At 37.3% G+C, this 20,726-nt stretch overlaps 1 long non-coding RNA gene across 3 annotated transcripts in view; it reads left to right on the top strand.

Annotated features, from left to right (window-relative positions):
* Positions 1 to 20,726, top strand: part of LOC105369710 (uncharacterized) — a 66,878-nt gene that overhangs the window by 18,725 nt on the left and 27,427 nt on the right. For 2 of the 3 annotated variants that reach the window (XR_931461.3, XR_931462.3), the window contains exon 2: positions 3,692 to 3,744. This is a non-coding gene — a long non-coding RNA (uncharacterized LOC105369710). Of the gene's footprint in view, positions 1 to 3,691; positions 3,745 to 7,972; positions 8,255 to 20,726 lie in introns of those variants that run through there. The other variant, XR_931463.2, reaches the window with a different exon arrangement.

The following is a 20,726-nucleotide window of genomic DNA, read 5'->3' as shown; positions in this document are numbered from 1 at the left end:
CTTCTTCCTGAAGTAGCTCTTTATAGTGTGATACTTTGAGGGAGGTGAGGGCTATATTCTAGACTGGCAGGAATTCTCCTTGGGATACTAGTGTGTGAGTACAGGGTTACTTCTCCCTAGCTAACAGAAGTTGATATTTCAGGGCTTCTCTCAATGCCTGCTTTCCCCTCTAACCTGTTGTACCAGTAGACTGCTTCCTGGTAATATGACTTATCTTTGTGTTTGTATTTCCTCATTCGGCCTTATCTTCCCCTTCTTCTTTTTACCAAACTCGGTCCAGGGAAGCTCTTGCTATTAGACTATACTTCTAACATAAGTAATATTGACCCAGATAAAGAAGAGCTGGGCTTCGCCAGGCTTGAATGAGATCTGTACCCTCTGGAGTCTTCTCTCAGCATCTGCCTGTGTCCCTGTTTTACTTCAGAAGATCTGGCAGCCTTCTTCCTTTGCTAGGATTCAGAGTTAGAGGGCCCTCTTCCTGTCATAGAACTAAGTTCTAGCTTTAGGTTTTGTTTCTTGTTCTTATTGATTTGGGTGATTTCTAAGAGGAGAGGAAAAAACATCTTGATTACACCTATTTTAAAACTGCAAATCATGTATTCAAATTTTAACAATGACTTCTATGATCAATAACTTTAAATACTCTCTTAATTTCTTCACTGCTCTCATTTCTAACTCTTTAGTTATATTTATTTCTTTATGACTATCAACAACTTATTTTCAATCCTGCTCAATTAAATTTTAGAAGTAAGGGCACAGTCTTTACAAAACATAAAGAGCAGCTTACAGCCTTGCCTACAACCTCTAGCACATATTTCAGGATCATATTAGTTTTCTAAATTATCACTTCTTAATATAGAACTATAGGTAAGAAAATTTTATATTTATATGTTCAATAAAATGTCACAATGAAAATTGTGAAAAGATTTTTTCTCTATGACAAGCAAAAACATGATAATGTATAATGTGCAGATGAAATGTCAATTCATTCCAATATATACACATTACTATAAAGATCATTATATAGAAGTTATGCTGTATTTGAAATTGGTAAGCTGATATAAAGAGGTATTATTTTGAAATAGCACATCAGCTAATGATGAAAAAATACCACATATATTTTCATACTAAAGAATGCAACTATTGGAAGTGTCTTTTCCCTTAGTCACTTAAGGAATTAAATATACTTAGGATAATAGGCAACTTTTAAAAAGAAAATGTTTATCAGTTTTGTAGGGGGAGGTCCAAGTTCACGACACATCACACTACATTTTATAGAAGTATAGGGTTTTATTAAACTTCCTGTTTCTGCTGGCTGCTTGCTTGCATAGCTGTGGAGGGCCATGTGATTGTAGCAAATGCTGGATGTAAATTTATATCTTTGGCATAAAATGAAAGATAAAATTATTGGAAATCTGAAAATGTTTTTGCTTGTATAAAAACTTGATCTTAAAAGTTACACTACACCACCTTAGAAAGGGAGAGGGACAGAATTAATGTCAATAGTCTAAATATTGGTTTGGGCTTCTAGCAAATTTTTCATGGGAGGCCATGGGGGTGTGATTAATGCTTCCCAAGAACACTTAGATATTCTCCATCAAGTAATCTGTGCTGGAAAGGATTGAATGCTAGGTCCCCAGATGATTAAAGCATATTGGCCCAAGGTAACATTAAAGCTAGAACTCAATAATTCTAGTTAAACTAGTAAAAATGAGAGATTTAAATTTATACCCAGATTTTGAAGAAAAAATAACTAATCAACAAATGCACACACGGAAAGTTTCCAACTACACATTTCCTACTAAATGAAAAATCCCATACCCAGATATTCATAGCTTCTAATTATTTTGTACTCAAACTTCCCAGGTATTTTTTCATTAGATACCCTTATTCTCTCACAAAAAGGTTGTAATAAGGTTGTTGCCACAGCTGCACCAATTCTCTCTTACCCTTCTCTGATTTTTGAGGGCAACTGGAAACCAATGTGGTTTGTTTTTGTACATAGTAACTTGGCCCAGGTCACAGGAATACCACAAAAGAGTCTGATAACAACACATTTGCACTCAGACTGCACATGTACAGATAAATACACATCCCAAAACTATTTTTTCACCCTCACCCACAGAGACAATATATCACTGCCGTTAGAGTCATCAACTGCTTCAGAACATGAAATGCCACTTTAAGACAGTGCCATGGAGCCATTCCAGGCATTCATTAAAGCTTTTTATTTTTTAAATTTTATTTTCTTTTAGATTCAAGGAGTACACACACGTTTGTTACATGGGTATATTGCATACTGGTGGGGATTGGGCTTGTAGTGCACCCATCACCCAAATAGTGAACATTGTACCCAATAGGTAGTTTTTCAATCCTTGGCCACCTCCCATCCTCCTCTCTTTCAGAGTCCCCAGTGTCTATTATTTCCATCATTATGTCCATGTGTACTCACTGTTTAGTTCACAATTACAAGTGAAAATATGCAGTATTTGGTTTTCTGTTTCTGTGTTCACTTAGGATAACGGCCTCTAGCTCCATTCTTGTTGCTGCAAAGGATATGATTTCATTATTTTTTATTGCTGAGTAGTATTTCATGGTGTATTAGGTACCACATTTTCTTTATCCAGTCAACCATTGATGGATACTTAAGTTGATTCCATAACTTTGCTCTTGTGGACAGTGCTGTGATGAACATGAGTGCAGGTGTCTGTTTTACATGTGATTCATTTTCCTTTGGGTAGATACCCAACCGTGGGATTGCTAGGTGCAATGATAGTTCTATTTTTAGTTCGTTGAGAAATCACTGTTTTCCATAGAGATTTAACTAATTTATATTCCCACTAACAGTGTATAAGTGTTCTTTTTTCTCTGCATCCAGGCCAACATCTGTTGCTTTTTGACTTTTTAATAATAGCCTTTCTGACTGGTGGAAGATGATATCTCATTGTGGTTTTAATTTGCATTTCTCTGATGATTAGTGATGTTGAGCATTTTTTCATGTGTTTGTTGGCTGCTTGTATTTCCTCTTTCAAGAAATGTCTGTTCATGTCCTTTGCCCAGTTTTTAACGGGGGTTGTTTGTGTTTTTTCTTGTGGAGTTGAGTTCCTTGTGTTATTAGTTCTTTGTCAGATGTATAGTTTGAATATATTTTTTCCAATTCTGTAGGTTGTTTAGTCTGTTGATTATTTCCTTTGCTGTGCAGTAACTTTTTTGTTTAACTAGGTCCCATTTGTCTATTTTTTTTTTGTTGCTATTGCTTTGGGGTCTTCATCATACATTTTTTTGTCTAGTCCAGTGTCCACAAGTTTTTACTAGATTTTCTTCTAGAATTTTTACAGTTTCCAGTCTTACATTTAAGTCTTTAATCCTTCTTAAGTTAATTTTTTGTATGTGGTGAGAGAGATAAGACTCTAGTTTCATTCTTCTACATATGGCTATCCAATTTTCCCAGCACTATTTATTGAATAGGGTGTCCTTTCTCCAGCGTTCACTAAAGCATTTTAAAATCATTGTTCCTTGAGAATTATCTATTTTACAATTGTGATTTCCTTATTCTTTTCAGGCCACTCTTAATCAGTCTAAATCTAACTAATATCCCTAGAAACCGTATTAAAAATGGTTGGCTTATTTTCAGTGTATATAAATACAATTATACAATTATTTTAATAATTTTATTGTGTACTTGTTTCAGACTCATTGCTCCAGCTGGAGAGTTGATTATGACACAATGCCTGCCTTGAAGAGGTAAGAATTTAGTTGGAGGCAAAGGTTAGAATAAGGAAGCTATACGGTAATTACTTAAGGATTATATGGCAAAGCATTTCCTAAGCAAATGGCTTTCAAATTCATGGCAGTTGTTGAATCTTTTCTTAATAGAAATCTTATAAGTAAATCCAAGTTATTAGACGCATAAAAGAAAAATTCTTCTGATTGAAATAAGAACACAATTCCATGAGTCTCTCCTGCTGGGTTCCTTGTCTTAACCCCTTGCAGCCCTTAAGCTTCTTTTACAGATGCTCTTAGGGTTTTTGGAGTGAATCTCTTAATCCCTACTGTACACATACATACATTTATTTTGTCCAAATAACTGAAGACAGATATATTTAATGTATAATAGCCTTTGATAAGTAGCAGTATCCCACGATATGGGTTGGAATAACCATATTACAGACTAAAGTATGATTTTTAAAGTAGAAATCAATGGGGACTAGTGAAAAGATAGCAAACAAAGAAGTGAAGGATGGCAATTGGTCTCATGATATTACAGAACTAACCAATTAATGGTTAATAGATAAACAAGCCAGACTTTCCAAATCCTAACTTCTATGGATAAAGTTTTACGAGAACCATTGCTAGTTTTGTCCCTCAGTTCTCCCCAAATGACTGTGCTAACTGATAGGTACTATGGAACACTATGCAAATGTCTCCAGATAGTTGAAGGATTCATGTATTTAGTAAGTACCACTGCATGCATTAGAATATTCTAGATAGGTCTTGGGTTGGAATAAACATGGTCTTATTATACAAAACGTGTTCTTAGAAATTAACCAAATTCTAAGAAACGAACTCAGTTTTATCTTACCAAATTCCACGAGGTGGGTGCCTGAGTATAAAACCAACCTAAAGTTTTAGATATGGAGTTTTCTTGCCACCAGATGTTGAAGCTAGGAAAGAAGATGGGGCCTCACTAACTTACTTTGCATTTACTTTCTGCCTTGTAAACATGTGGCAAATGTAATAGAAAGTATATTTAGGATATAAGCAGGAAAATAAATTTTTATTTTTTTTTCTGACATTTTGTGACTCTAGATTCCCATGACACAAACACTGTTTAGATATGTAGTTCAGTGATTTAGTGCTTTGTGGGCAGGTAATTCATGGACTTCTCATCCACTTGATTTTGAGTAAGAGAGCTTTGGAATTGTGATGCAAAATTAAATTAGACTAATCACAGAAGCAGAGCATTCAATTGAGAAAAAATTGTAGGGAAATTTACAAAGAGAGGAAAGGGTGATTAGTGATAAAGGGTAGTAAAAAATAGCTTTTGTTTAAATACTAGAGATAAACCCAAGTACCCAGCTAGATATGTGCTTGGGAGAGAACTGTATAAAAGGAGAGATTTATTGGAAATGTTTTGTGACAGAATACTATCAGCAGATGTTCCTTGTTAGGAGAATACATATTAATGTTGATGTATTGCCTCAATTTGTTTACATTCCCTCCAAACTGGCTGATAAAGCTGCCTTATAGAATCACTGCACATGGTTATACACTGTACAAGGAAAAATATCTAAGAATGACATTCACATCATAGATGTCATGGATTTGCATATTTATTATGGCAATATTCTCTACTGAAATAAAGTCATGAGGAAGGGGCACTTTTTTCCCATTTACAAAAAGGTGCCACCTGTGCTAGCAACAATCTAGTGTTAATTCTTCCGTAGAATCACTTCAACTCTAAGATGTTCCTTGGCCAGATGAACAGATGAATCATTCCTCATTTCCTTTTCTTATCATGCTCATAAATGAGATCTAAAATGCTCATTAGGTCTTTGGACTCTTTTGGCACCAAAAAGATGGTTGGCATTCAAAAGACTGGGAAGGAACCCAAAACTAGTTGTTTCACTAACACAAATTGGGGATTGGGTAGTCACAGACGGAAAACAAATAAGCGGATTTGGTGAAGAAAATTATACTTCTTTTTTCTTTCTTGTTTACTGCCTGGTGCATAGCAGCTACTCAAGAAAATATTTTGGGAATGAATTAATGTCCATAGGGACCATCATCTCTAGAACCATCCAAAGTCTCCTTTACTTTCAGGATCAGTCCAAAGGCTAAGTATTTATGACTTCATGGAGGATAAATATTAGTAACAGTGATGATGAAACTGATTATACATTGTAGTTCTTTACATAGATTCTACCAACTGATACTCCTATACTCCTTACTTTACTATACTCCTGTGATTTTCTAAAACATACTCCTTCCTTTATACTCCTTACTTTATACTCCTTCCTTTATACTCCTTACTTACTCCTTACATACTCCTTACTTTATACTCCTTACTTTACTGTACTCCTGTGATTTTCTAAAACATACTTATTCTATTATATCCAGGCAGCTGTTCTCCATTCTCACTACGTAACCCAATGTCCACTTTCTGGCCAGGTTCTCAGGCACACTTGACATTTTCATCAAGAGAAGGAAAATCATTTCAAGTCCAAAGGATAAGCACCATCATGGTAAAAAGGTCATAAAACACTAGGAGTTGCTCTTTAGCAATAGATTTTTGAAGGTAAGGCCAAAGAAAACATGGGACATGGTTTGGAACAAGCTTGCGTATACTTCATCATCAGGGCTGTGGTACACAGTATGAGAAGGCTTCAGGGGAATTAAAACACCACTGGAAAGGAGGGTTTTGCTTGCATTGGCTATAATAAATATGTTTTTACAATAAACAAATGGGTGGCCATAAGACATGCATGTCTGATGTTGAAGGGAAAGCCTGTTTGCACCAAATAAATTACAGAAACAGTTCAAGAGCAGTTCATCCTAGTGAAAATATTATCCCTGAACTACTAGCAGGGTTAGTGTCAGGTTAGGTTATCTTTTGTATGAATGCCAACTACACTCACTAAACCTGCCTAAGGGTAGTTTGTTGAAACCATTATACGCTTTTTCAGTAATCTTACACACTTCTACTTTAATCACAGCCAAATCTTACTTTTTTCATCTCAGGATCAACTTTTTCAGGGGGCTATCTTACAGCTTGAAAATCATTCTTCCCTGCCCCGGCATGCTCCCTGCCCCTGCCCTATCCTATGTGACTGCATTCCAAATGAATGTCTGAGATGAAGGCCAGGGCAATAGATGCCAATCCTGTACAAATCACAGAGCGGACAGACTGATCCAAAGGCCATCATTTATTCAAAGTCCAGTCCTTTAGTTCACTGGAAGGGAATGGCTTTTAAAATATGGCCAGCAAAAACAATGAAGTAAGACTCTTTGGGGGGCATTAATTTCATCAAAACTTTTGAAACTCTTTAGATGCTCATAAACTTTGGATTTTTAGAGCACTACAGGAATATAATATATTTATATTTGTTATTTATTATAATTTATAAATATTTATTTTGTAACGTAAATATTTATAAGTTTTGGTCTTCCAAGCCTCTAATGCAAAAATGAACATGGAATTAATTGAATGGCTAGCAAGGCAGATGAATACTTCTCAGCAATGGCAATTAATACTCTAATTGCTACGACTTGCAAAGGTTTGCAAAGAGAACAAAAACTTCACATCAATAGTCTGTCACCAAGCATTCACTGAACACCCACAAATTGGAATAGGTATCTGACAGAAGCTATCTGTGGACAGTATCCTCAAATTACTCTTCTGTCTTTCCAGATAATTAAGGCATTTAGAAATTGATATGGTTTGAATCTGTGTCCCCATCCAAATCTCATGTCAAATTGTAATCCCCAATGTTGGAGGTGGGGTGTGGTAAGAGGTGATTGGATTACGAGGGTGGGTCCTTCATGAATAGTTGAGCACCATTCCCTCGGTGCTGTTCTCCTGACAGTGAGTGAGTGAGATATGGTGAGATCTGGTTGTTTAAAAGCGTGTGACACCTCCCCGCTTTTTCACTTCATCCTGTTCCTGCCACGTAAGATGTCTACTCCCACTTTGCCTTCCGCCATGAGTAAAATCTCCCTGAGGCCTCCCAGAAGCAGCTGCTGCCATGTTTCCTATACAACCTGTGAAACCATGAGCCAATTAAATCTCTTTTCTTTATGAATTACCCAGTCTCACATATTTCTTTATAGCAGTGCGAGAACAGACTGCTACAGGAATATGTGTCTGTCAAATACTTGTTGTTATTGTTGTTTATAATGTTATTCACTGTAAGTTCTTTTTAAATCATTTTTTTAAAGTAGGAATGAATGTTCTTCCTTTTCCTGCTTGCAGTACGTCAGTGTTATATGTTACAAGTCAAGAGCTTCAAGACAGAAAAGCAGGATTTGTGTTTCAACTCTATCACTTCATAACTGGGCAAATGATTGAAACTCTGAGTCTCAGTCCCTTCCACCATAAAATGAGGATGAAAGTGATAGCCTCTATGCACAGTTTTTGAGAAGGATTGCAGAGAATAATGTATGAGATGAAGTAATCAAAGCTTATATAAATATAAGTTGCCATTTTTTTGTATATTTTTCTTCTTTTTTTATTATTATTATACTTTAAGTTTTAGAGTACATGTGCACAATGTGCAGGTTAGTTACATATGTATACATGTGCCATGCTGGGGTGCTGCATCCATTAACTCGTCATTTAGCATTAGGTATATCTCCTAATGCTATCCCTCCTCCCTCCCCCCACCCCACAACAGTCCCCAGAGTGTGATGTTCCCATTCCTGTGTCCATGTGTTCTCACTGTTCAATTCCCACCTATGAGTGAGAACATGCAGTGTTTGGTTTTTTGTCCTTGCGATAGTTTACTGAGAATGATGATTTCCAATTTCATCCATGTCCCTACAAAGGACATGAACTCATCATTTTTTATGGCTGCATGGTATTCCATGGTGTATATGTGCCACATTTTCTTAATCCAGTCTATCATTGTTGGACATTTGGGTTGGTTCCAAGTCTTTGCTATTGTGAATAGTGCCACAATAAACATACGTATGCATGTGTCTTTATAGCAGCATGATTTATAGTTCTTTGGGTATATACCCAGTAATGGGATGGCTGGGTCAAATGGTATTTCTAGTTCCAGATCCCTGAGGAATCACCGCACTGACTTCCACAATGGTTGAACTAGTTTACAGTCCCACCAACAGTGTAAAAGTGTTCCTATTTCTCCACATCCTCTCCAGCACCTGTTGTTTCCTGACTTTTTAATGATAGCCATTCTAACTGGTGTGAGATGGTATCTCATTGTGGTTTTGATTTGCATTTCCCTGATGGCCAGTGATGATGAGCATTTTTTTCATGTGTCTTTTGGCTGCATAAATGTCTTCTTTTGAGAAGTGTCTTTTGAATTGTCTTTTACAACCTGGTGAAAAGCTTATGACATGTAAGTGACCATTTAAATCAGTGATACCTGATGAGAACTTTGCTGCACATAAAAATCACCAATGGAGCTTAATAAAAATATAGCCCAATAGGCTATAGCCCTCACTGATTCTGACTTAGTAGACTGGGTGCGGGCCAGTATGTCTCTTTTTAAAAGTGCCATAGGTAGACCAAGATTTGACAACTACTGTCTTAATAAACAAGAAAGCCCCTCTTCTTCAGGATGCTTCTGGGAAAATAACTAATGTACCTTCTAGATGATTTGGCTTACAAATAGAAACTTGGATTCCAGGACAATCTGTGAAAATCCATATGCTAAAAACTCTTGTAAACTCTAATAATAGATTCTAAACCTCCAAATATGAGAATCTATAGAAATGTACTCTGCCTGGTGGTAGAAATTTGAATTAAGGGATACTAAGGAAAGTTGATATTAGTTCATTAAAGTATCTGCCATGCTATCACTACAGACAAGGAATATACGCTAATATAACTGACCAATAATTTTATAGAATCTGCAGTTCCACAAAAATGTTTTAGTAAATAGTGTGAAACATGAGAGGAAATGGTAATTTTTAATTTTCTTCTTCTTTACTAGAGGGGCTGAATTACTCATGGCGTCCCAAATCTCTCTTAATGCATAGTATGAGGTCTGTAGTTGTTAAGACTGACTCAACATTTTCTTAAAAGAATTCTGAATTGAATCTTTCTGAAGAAGAAAAAAAAAAGATCACTTACCATTTCATTATTTTTCATCCTCATTCACCTCTGAACTTCCTGGTTCTGTCTGGGGCCAAAGTAAAAATGCCAAAACACCACGGGAAAGGCTGCTCTCACAGTATTTCTGGCTCACCAAAAATTTCTGGAGAAAGCCAGTTTCCATGAGATTTCAGTTCCAATTTTATAGACCCAAGAAAACTCAAGATAGTTCAGATAAAGTTCAGATAAGCATTCAAATTTTTCAGTTACTGATGCCAGAAGAACCACTAAGTCATTTGACATGTTCACATCACTGTTTTAGGACAGAAAAAAAAAACAACTAGAATTCTGATCCAATGTGAACAATTTTAGAGGAGTACAATGTACTGAGAAGCCATTAGAATTAATAGGTAATTTTTTTAATAAAATGCAAAAATAAAAACAATGACCCTGTGGCTTATTTTAGGTATAAATAAAATTTAAATGAAATAACCTAACAACATCAAACATTGAGCAATAGCTTGTCCAAGAAAAGCTACTACGGCAATTAACACAAGATATGACTTGAGGTGACAACACTTTGCCCACCTGTTTATCTTTCTGAGTTCCTACCTTACCTTCCTTCCTTAAAAATGGAAATGATAGTACCAACATCACTATACATTACATGTTCCAGCAGGTATAATGAACTACTAATCCTAAAACCTTAAAGTTCTCTATTTCTTGCATTGGCATGGGATGGAGCAGGAAAGAAGAAAGTTAATTGAACTTGCAAATAATCCTCTAAAAAAATTACCTTTGGGGCCAGAAATTACCCTCTGAGGCAAGAAATAAATTCTGAATTTTTTAAAGGGTGAGTGGTTTGGTAAATTTACTCACCAGGAGATCAAGATCTTCTCAAAAACTGTCAACAAAGAAAAACATCGCATGCACACCAGAGTCTCATTATAACACTACCCACCCTGGTGTGAAGTTTGGAATAGCGAGCTTTTATTCTTGGATCCCATCCAAAGAGATTCAGTTATTGTAAGCACCAGAAGGAAATTGCTATAACATGGCTCCATGTATAATGCTTTTTTGTGGCATAAGCAAGACCCTATTATGCTAAAATACAGTAACTGACAAAATTAGGCTATAGAAACTGGAAATAACTGCCATTAAAAAGGAGTTTAGTATGTTTATCATTCTACTAAAATTTTAACCAGTCTTCTCATCTCCCAAGAAATACATAAACCTTAGCAAATCAAATCTGTATCTTCTTCACCCAGCATAAATTATCTCTTGTTCTTAGCTAATGGGAGAATACATACTTACAAGGATAGGAAAAATACTTTGGACTCTTCCTTTACTAAGTTTATAGCTAAAGGAACATTTTTAAAGAATGTTTCCAATGTAGACAACCATTTTGAAATATTTAGGTAAGGAAAAATTAATTAATACCTACCATTTTAAAGTACTACTTTATTTCCTTTCTTTTTCTTCTACCATCTTGCCACTCAACTTGGGAACTTAATTACTCAAATTATTTGTGTATATTTACCCCCATGATATGGTTTGGCTGTGCCCCCACCCAAATCTCATCTTGAATTTTAGCTCCCATAATTCCCACATGTTGTGGGAGGGACCCCTGGTGGGGGATACTTGAATCATGGAAGGAGTTTCTTCCAGACTGTTCTCCTGGTAGTGAATAAGTCTCACGAGATCTGATGTTTTTATAAGGGGTTTCCCCTTTTGCTTGGCTCTCGTTCTCTCTCTTGCCTGCTGCCATATAAAACATGTCTTTCACCTTCCACCATGATTGTGAGACCTTCCCAGCCACATGGAACTGTGAGTCCATTAAACCTCTTTTTCTTTATAATTTACTCAATCTCGGGTATGTCTTTATCAGCAGTGTGAAAATGGACTAATACACCCCACTTACTAAATAATTATTGATTTGTACTTTAGAAGGAGATATCAGGCTTCTAAGTAGGGGTCAAGTTTCCTCTTAATTTTGTCAATCAATTCTTCAATTTTCAGGAAAATGAAGAAATTTTCTCTGGTCATATATTATCCCTAATAACTATTAAACAAAAGCATAAATTATTAGTAATTTTATTAATCAAAATTTGTATCTAAACTCTAACTCAATACCCATATTTAGAAAGGAGCAAATTCCTCCAAAAGAAAATATACCTAGTTAATATGCTATAAAAATATCAAGTCTGAATCTTAGCACTCAGTAGACTGAAAATTACTCAAAAGTAAGGGATTAGAGAAACAAAAAGTCTTGGCAAATATACACGTAGAGGTGTCCCACCCATATTTAAATCATTAGTTATCTTTTAATATGGTACCTACTATTTGTTTAATGTCACTAAGTATGAGGTACTATCCTAGGCATTGTACATGTGTTTTATCACTTAATGTACTTTAATCTAAACGGTGCAAGAGCAACTTCAATACAGGTATTAGTATTACCCCTATTTACAGATAAGAAATGGAGACTGAGAAGAATGAAGTTAACCTATATGTGTGCATACATCTCGCAAAAAATAGAACTGACTTTTAATCTAGGTCTGTTTGACTTAAAAGTCTATTTACTTTTCACTATGAAGTTTGTTCTAAATGAGAATAATGTACTTTATCACCCTATAAATATTATAACAGTAAACATTGAAGTGGTATAAACTACAATGGAAGTTATCTAAGCCAGAAATTATTGTATAATTTAACACTAACTCACTTTTTAAAATTTTATATTTGCACTAATGAACTCCTTGCTCATATAGTTCTCATTACTTCCTCTACATAAATGCATCCAGATTTACATTCAGATCCAGCCACTTACTCTGTTATCAGATTAGATCAGTCTCTTGCAAAGTACCACCAAAAATGTGAAATATAATGTGTTGAAAGTTGCAAATATTTTTCCCATTGGGAAAGTCACACCTACTACTGTATATACTGTATATACTGTCATTACTGTATATACTGTATATACTGTCATTACTGTATGCACTCTATTTTAAATTTTAAATTTTCTTCCTGCTGAAAAAAGAAGGAAAAAAACACAAATAAGGCAATGATTAGAGTACTGGAGTGATTAATGAAGCTGATAACCTTAGCTAAGAAGGTCAAAAAATGAATTGGACACAGAAGCTAAAAAGATGATGAAGTGGAAGATTCCCTGGGGTGCAGACCTTTGAGATATCTTGATTATATTCAGTCAATCCTGGAGCAGCAGTGATAAGAAAAAAAACAGGATTCTGGTGATGATGGCAGCCTTTAAGACCACGGAGATGATAGAGAAACCAGTCCCAGGGGCTAAATTGGCTTGACTCAAGAAGAGAACCAGCCTGGACATAAAGTTGTTGAACAGACCACAGACATCTTTAATAGTACAGAGAAACAGTCAATGACAAGAAGAATTATTTGCAGGAGGTGGAAGAGGTGAAAGGGACTTGCAGGGGGAGTGCCAAGTAAAGATCCCTGGGATAGGCTGAGTGGACTAAGTCCACGCTGAGCAGAGAATTGTTTCCCTCCTAAGCCCAGGAGAGAAATATTTGAAAAAAAAAATCCAGAAATTCCTTCTGCATTCAGGGAGCAGGAGCTCTCACAGAGCCTTGAGGAAATAGAAGGCAAAAGGGCAGGGAAACCTGGTATGAAGGCAACCACCAGAGAGCTCACATGCAGAGAACAGGAAAACTGAAAGCTGCTATTGGCAGAGGAAGGATTTCACCAAATCTGCGTGCAGTGGGGATAACCAGAAGCTCGCTACCATACTGGTGTGTGTAAGATTGATGTCCAAACTGCTGGTAAACACAAGCAAAGGAAAGAAACTAAAATCCAAGTGTCCCATTAGGTGTTCCAAACAAACTATAATGTGAAACTGATGTTAAGTACATTTTGATAAGAGATCAGTACTGAAAAACTCATGTTGTGGTACGTTTTAAATTTTCTAGTAGATTTTTTATTGGTGTAGGCAAAAGGTTACTATGCAAGAACTTTAAGAAAATGTTTGATATTGTCTTTAATGAGTAGAAAAGAAAAGGAATTTGTTCACCTGTCTACCAAACGAAAAAAAACAGCTGAAGGCCCCTAGTGATTGGGTAGTGTGGCGGTAGTGGTGGTGGTGGCTATCTTGAAGTGAAATATCTATAAATCTCCAAGGTTCACTTTGGAAGGAAAACCTCAGGTGGAAAGAGGCAGCTGATCAAACAGCTTCTAGCCTTTCTCTCTGGCTTTCCCTCTTCCTCTGTGAGTCTCTCACTTAGAGTACTATTGCATTTCCAAAGTATAAGATGGACTATTGCCAGGGCCAACAGTTTCCAGTAGAACTGAACACTCCCCTCCATTAAAACAGGGAGATAGTTTCAAAGGGTATATTTATTGAGCCCATTAGCTCCTTTGGCACAGCAGCCCAACTGAAAAGTCAGGGACAGAGGTTCTGAGTTTTGTTATAATAAAGAAGGGAAGTTGTTGCTGCTGCTGTTGTTTCTTCTCATCAGCACCTTTCTATAGAATCAGAAGGAAAACTGTTAAAAAAAAAAAAAAAAAACCAATAAAAAAAGTGCAGCAAGAAGAGATTTGGTGAAATGTCAGGATTCCTTGTAGATGGGGATAGCTATGATGTACTACTCCTTTCCATTTGCCTCACACACAAAAACTGCATCGATAAACTAAGTGTCGTATTTACTTCTACACATGAATTCAATATAATGTTGAATGATATCTGAAAACATTTTGCAAATCACAGATGCAGTCCGGAGTCTCTCAGTAGTCTCCACCTCAGTTCTCACACTGAAGGAATATATAACTATAACGTGTGAGGATGCACTCAGATGTTAACTCTCAAGCCCAGTCCACATGGATCTAGATTTCATTTCTGAGAGAGAAATCAGGAAGTTTCTTCTAACTGATTTTGCTACCTTTGGAGTAGAAGGAGATAGAGGAAACAAAGAATAACTTGAGTTCTGACAATGCAAGGACAAACAGACTAAATTAATTAAAATAGATGCTTACAAAATCTAAAAGTACAAACCGTGCTTTTGAAAACTATTTGGCTTTTCTATGCAGGATGGACAACATGTTCATATTGGACTATAATGTATGTTATTGAGCACCTAAAATATGCTATTGGCACTGCTAATTAATACTCATGCAATAGGCACTTGCAGTGATTTGTGTATCCTCATCTTGCCTTCCTAAATTCCTCCAAAGCCAAAACTGCTTTATGTTTTTTCTGTAGTCCCTCTGCTCAAGAGTTGCTTTTCCAGGCCTGGTGCAGTGGCTCATGCCTGTAATCCCAACACTTTGAGAGGCCAAGGCGGGTGGATCATCTGAGGTCAGGAGTTCAAGACCAGCCTGGCCAACATGGTGAAACCCCCATCTCTACTAAAAAAAAAAAAAAATAGCCACACATGATGGCGAGTGCCTGTAATCCCAGCTACTTGGGAGGCTGAGGCAGGAGAACTGCTTGAACCCAGGAGGCGGAGGTTACAATGAGCTGAGATCATGCCACTGCACTCCAGTCTGGGCAACAGAGCAAGACTCCGTCTCAAAAAAAAAAAAAAAAAGAGTTGCTTCTCTAAACTTGCACAAGACATCCTTACTCATATACTCCTGGGAACATTCTATTTGTATTGTAGTGCCTGCCAAAGTGTCCAGAACAACCCAAGACACAGAGAAGGCACTTGAAATGTGTTGGTATCTGGAATGTGATTGGCTGACTTGGGAGCCAGTGGTGTGCTGGGCCTGCTCCTATGAGCTCTGCAGATCAGACTGTGACACGTCTCTACATTCAATCACCTCATCTTCATAGTTTGAAATTGGCTATGGTGGGAGGGAGCATTTATACCACAGAAATTGTCCAATTGGTTTTAAGCATTCTGAATATAAGCAATCTGTCTTCCATTTCTCTTTTATTCCATCTAGCTTTTAAGCTGTTTTGAATTTAGCAGTCAAGAATTTCATGTGAGAATTGTACTTTGAGTAACTACATTTATCTTTTAAAAAAATCATTTTTAGTTTTTGAAGAAAAGCAATTATTTTGTACATACCTTTTTATATCATTTTAGACAATCATTTTCAAATAAGACAGTTCTTTGCTTAGTTTATATAAGTAGTAATTACAAAGAAAAATGTGCTGTTCTATTTTTCCCAAAATTGTTATTAAATAATCAGTAAAGATGCTAAAATTTTCTTTGTTTAATGACCAGGAAATTAAATTGTCTAGTTTGTAAAGTTAGAAAATAACTGTGTATTAGAAAGTTAATTCCATTGCATTAAAATTGGTGTTTTTGGAAATTATCTTACTATCTGACGAAATAATTGCTATTTTAGCCAAATGCATAACACTTTCTGTCTAAAATGGCCTTTGTAATATTAAAATATGAACATTCATTTTCCAGAACATGCATTGGAGAGACTACGGTATTTTGAAATTAAATTAGTTGTTTAACAAAGAGAATAATACCCCATATCCTTTGGAAAGGCAGTAGAGTGCTGTCCTTAGGAACAGAAAATGTGGGGCTAACTGCCAGAATTCTAGTCCCAGAAACTCCCTTTATTAGCAGTGTGAGTTTAGGAAAGTCAGATAACTTCTGAGTACCTCAGTTTCTCCCTGTGTTCAATGGGGATGGTAATAGAACTGGTTTCATACGTTTATGGTAAGGATTAAGTGCTGCACATGTAAAACACTTGGAATAATACCTAGTAATCAATAAGTGTTCAATAAATGCTAATTATAGCCAGGAGTGGTGTGTTTGTAGTCCCAGATACTTAGGAGGATTGCTTGAGCCCTGGAGTTGGAGGCTGCATGTTCATTCCTTTGCACTCCAGCCTGGACAATGAAAGAGTGAGACTTTGTCTCTAAGAAGGAAAGAAGGAAGGAAGGAAGGAAGGAAGGAAGGAAGGAAGGAAGGAAGGAAGGAAGGGAGGGAGGGAGGGAGGGAGGGAGGGAGGGAGGGAGGGAAAGAGGGAGGGAGGGGAGGGGAAGGGAGGGAAGGGGAGGAAAGACAGAAAGAAAGAAAGAAGGAAAGAAAGAGAGAGAGAAAGAAAGAAAAAGAGAGAGGAGAGAAAAAGAGAAAGAAATAAAGAAAAAAGAAAGAAAAAGAGAAAGAGAGGGAGAGAGAAAGAAAAAGAAACAAACAAAGAAACAAAGAAAGAAAGAAACACTAGTTACTATTATTTCTAGCATCTATGTGTCTCAGCCCAGAGTCATACATATACTGGGTACTTAATAAACGTTTCTAAATTGGTTAATTAAATGACCGGTTACTAGCATAGAGCAAAGGAATAAAGACTGAAAACCTACTGGGTACCAAGAACACAGCTGTGAACAAAACAAGCAAGTTCCCTGAGCTCATAAAGTTTTTAGCTCTGTGTTGTTCAGCCCAAAAATATATAAGGAACTGATATTAATGTTTAGGAATTAAAAGAAGGATCTGGATTATAAACTCCCTGACAGCATATATTAAAGACTGTATTAAAGGCAAATGAATTCAAATATAAAAATTTGGCTGTGTGTAACAGAGACCCAAAAGAGCTTTTGCGGAAAGGAGATAGAAAATTCTTTCTCATGTAACAGTCCAGAGGTGGGCCATCCAGGGCTCTGCAAAAGTCTAGGTTCTCAGATGCTTCTGTCTTATAGCTCCACCACTCCAGGGTATTCTCTGTCTTCATGGTCCTGGATGGCTCCTCACCACGCCCAAATTCCAAGCAATAGATTGGAGGAAGGAGGAAGAACATACCCCCTCCATTAAGAGGGAAGTGAATATGAAATTATTTTCTTCACTTCTGGGCATAGCCTATTATGTTCACATAGCCACCCCATCTACAAGGGAGCCTGGCAAAATATTTTTATTCTGAGGGCCCTTGTACCCACCTAAAATCGAGAAGATGCAAAAAAAACAAATCTTGAAGGACAGCTAATAGTCTCAGCCACGTTCCATCCCTTTTATGAAGTTTTGCCAAATTCTCCAGAGAAACCCTCGTTCGCCTCCCAAGGAATGTGATCCCAAAGCCTCTTCCAGTTCCTGCATCTAGATCAAGGTTCTCTGGGTGAGATTAACTCTCTACATTAGGTCTCAATGTGGCTCTTTGGGATATGGTGGCTATAAACTAACAGACAAGTAATCCACCCAATATAAAATGAAGGACAGGAGCAAGATGACAAAAGTAAAAACTTCTGTTAGAAGAGGGAAAATGAGAAACACAGCTGTCATCGATCTATAAGATTTATCAAGTCCTGTTGGAAAGGAATTGTGGAAACTTCCTACCCTGCTGGTGGTATGAATCCTTCAGTCAGCCCATTTGGGAACCGTGGCTTCAGCTCTCTGGGAGGATTTGTTGTCCATTGTCTTCGATGGCCACATCTAAAGCGGACTTTGGATGGTATTCCTTCTTGGGGCTACCACAGCTTTCACACACTGCTTCTTGCTGATGTCGATTTATGGATTCAGGAGTTGGGTTGGTTTGTCACAGGTTTTAGCCAGCCAGTTTTCTGGCTTCTTTGGCAATACAATTCCTTTATAACTAGAAGAATGCCTTCCAGGCCATTTGTTTCTGCTCAGTTCCATGTGTGGGTAATCACAGCCAAGGCTCTGGTCTTGATATAGATGTTAAGACTAAGAGTTCTGATTTTTATAAGGACCTCAGTGTCACTTAGATTCCCAGAGGAAGGATTCTTTCATAGTGGAGACTCTCTTCCACTTTTCTGCCCCACACTGGGAAGGGTATTAAATTACAGTCCACTCTTCTGTCAAAATAGTGCCTGTGGGTGATATGCTCACTCCTAGCCACAGCCACTCAGCTCCTGGTCGTAGAGCCAGTCTTCCAAGCCGTCCTTAGGCCCACAAGCATGTGTCAGCTCTCAGCCTGAGCTTGCCAATAATTATCGCTCTTTTAGCCCCACTCTTCAACAATGTCTGTTTCCTTTCACTAAGCCTCCACATAAAAGATGTCCTCTCTTGAGGCTGTCCATATAGGCTGTCCACATAGCCACCTGTGCTGCAGAGGTCACACTCACAACTTTAGAATGGAGTTCTTCTGTGCTTTCTTGCCCAGAAACATGTCTCCTTTGGCCCTGCCCAGCACCTTAAGCTACAAGGCCCAGGGAAGTAATCGTGCTGGGCAGGGAACTAAGATACATTCAGTAACGAAAAGACTTATTTTACTTTATAACTTTTATGAATGTATATGAATATATACACACACATATATACATAGACATATAAACGTATTTTATATATGTATATATGCAAGCTGGGCCATTCTAGTTCTCTTTCCTCACTGCACTATAAAGGGCTGCTCTGTAAGAATCTACCTGGTAAGAGGCAAGCATGAATCTTTCTGTTTGTCAGGCTCCAGACTTCCCAGAATTCTCTTCCCACACTCTGCCTAAGGGGCAACAGTGGAGCAGCTTGCAGATGTTCTAGCATAGCAAGCCTCCAGGATGAGGCCCCAGTCTCTTCTTCCAGGGGACTCGTGGTGTTTAGGACCTCTTACTTGTCTTGGAGAAATGCTACAGCACTACTTACCACAGCACTGCTTACTGAAAATGTACTAGTCCTATGCATTCTCTGTTTCAAAAGATTCTTGAATGTCTAATCTTTTCCCTATATAAGTGGTAATGTGGGGGATGGAATCAGGACCACTGAGCTACATTTCAGGAAGTCCTGCAGAATTTCTTTAAAATGTGGGGGTATCTTAGCATCTAGTGGTCCCAACTTTGAGGCTTTAGCTGAAATCTGAGATAAGTCTCATTCAACATTCTGTTGCTAATAATAGTAATAATAATAATTGTAATAATAAGAATATTAGCTAACTTTAAAACAGTGTGCTGGGCAGTGCTCTACACACTTTAAATTTATTAAATGGTTAACCATCTAACAATCATATAAAGTTGGGTCCCCATTTTACAGATGCAGAAACTGAAGCATAGAAAACCTAAGTAACTCGCCTAAGTTAGCATAACTACTAATGGCAGTTCGGATATTTAACGCCAGGCAGCCTAGCTGTAGGGTTTGTACTCTTAACTATGACACTTTCCTGCCTCTTCCTGTTAAGAGATTTGGACTTTAGACTGAGAGTGATAGAAAGAACTTGACTCTCCCTTTATCTATAAAAAAAGGATAATAAAACATACCTTGTACAGTGATTTGAAGGATTAGATAATATAGATGAAGATTCTGGAACCAGCCCTGATATTGAGTAGTAACTTGATAATAAATGATAATAATTATTATTTTTTCCCTTTCTGTGTGAGGTAGTTGATGCCAAGCCAGCACCAAGAAAATCTAGAACAGTCATTCTTGTAGAATAAGAAAGTGCCCATTCCACTCCCCACTCCCAAATTCCCAAATCAGCTGGCAGAGATATTCAGCCCCACATATGATTCCCCTAGATAATAATGAAAGGATAGGAATTGTGTTTCAAATCAACATACAGCCAGCCGTGACCATATGCAATAGTTCGTTTCCCGTTAGGTTTATTACTTTGAAGACTGCGCCAAAGAACCAGAGACAAGTTGGAGAAACTGAGACTGAGTCTAAACCCTCTGATTCTCCTTGATCAAGTTCCCATCACAGAGTCTGGAGAAAGGCTGTTAACTTTTATCTTCCCTGGCAGGCAAAGTGTCAGAATTAGTCCCAGACAAAGGACTATGCAAAAACACTAGATGATGTAAACCCCCTCCATGGGTTGAGTTGACCAGAGCATTAGACAATTCCAGTTTGAGGCTGGTGATACCTGTACAAACCGGATAGGTTTTAGTTTCTACAAAGCCTGGGGTATTAGGAAAAGACTTGATTACCTGTGGCTTAGTTTGAATTAGAAGGCAAAACAATTACACAAAAGCCCTCATTTAACTTTTAAGTGGTATTAGGCCCACACTAACTTTATGACACTAGGTTGCTTAAAACGAATGGCAGTTTCTCACATGCCTTAGAAAAAAATGTGGGGCTTA

Source organism: Homo sapiens, chromosome 12, assembly GCF_000001405.40.
Source record: "Homo sapiens chromosome 12, GRCh38.p14 Primary Assembly".
Classification (NCBI taxonomy): domain Eukaryota; kingdom Metazoa; phylum Chordata; class Mammalia; order Primates; family Hominidae; genus Homo; species Homo sapiens.
Note: the sequence above shows the minus strand (reverse complement) of the source record. Positions and strands in the feature narration are given on the sequence as shown.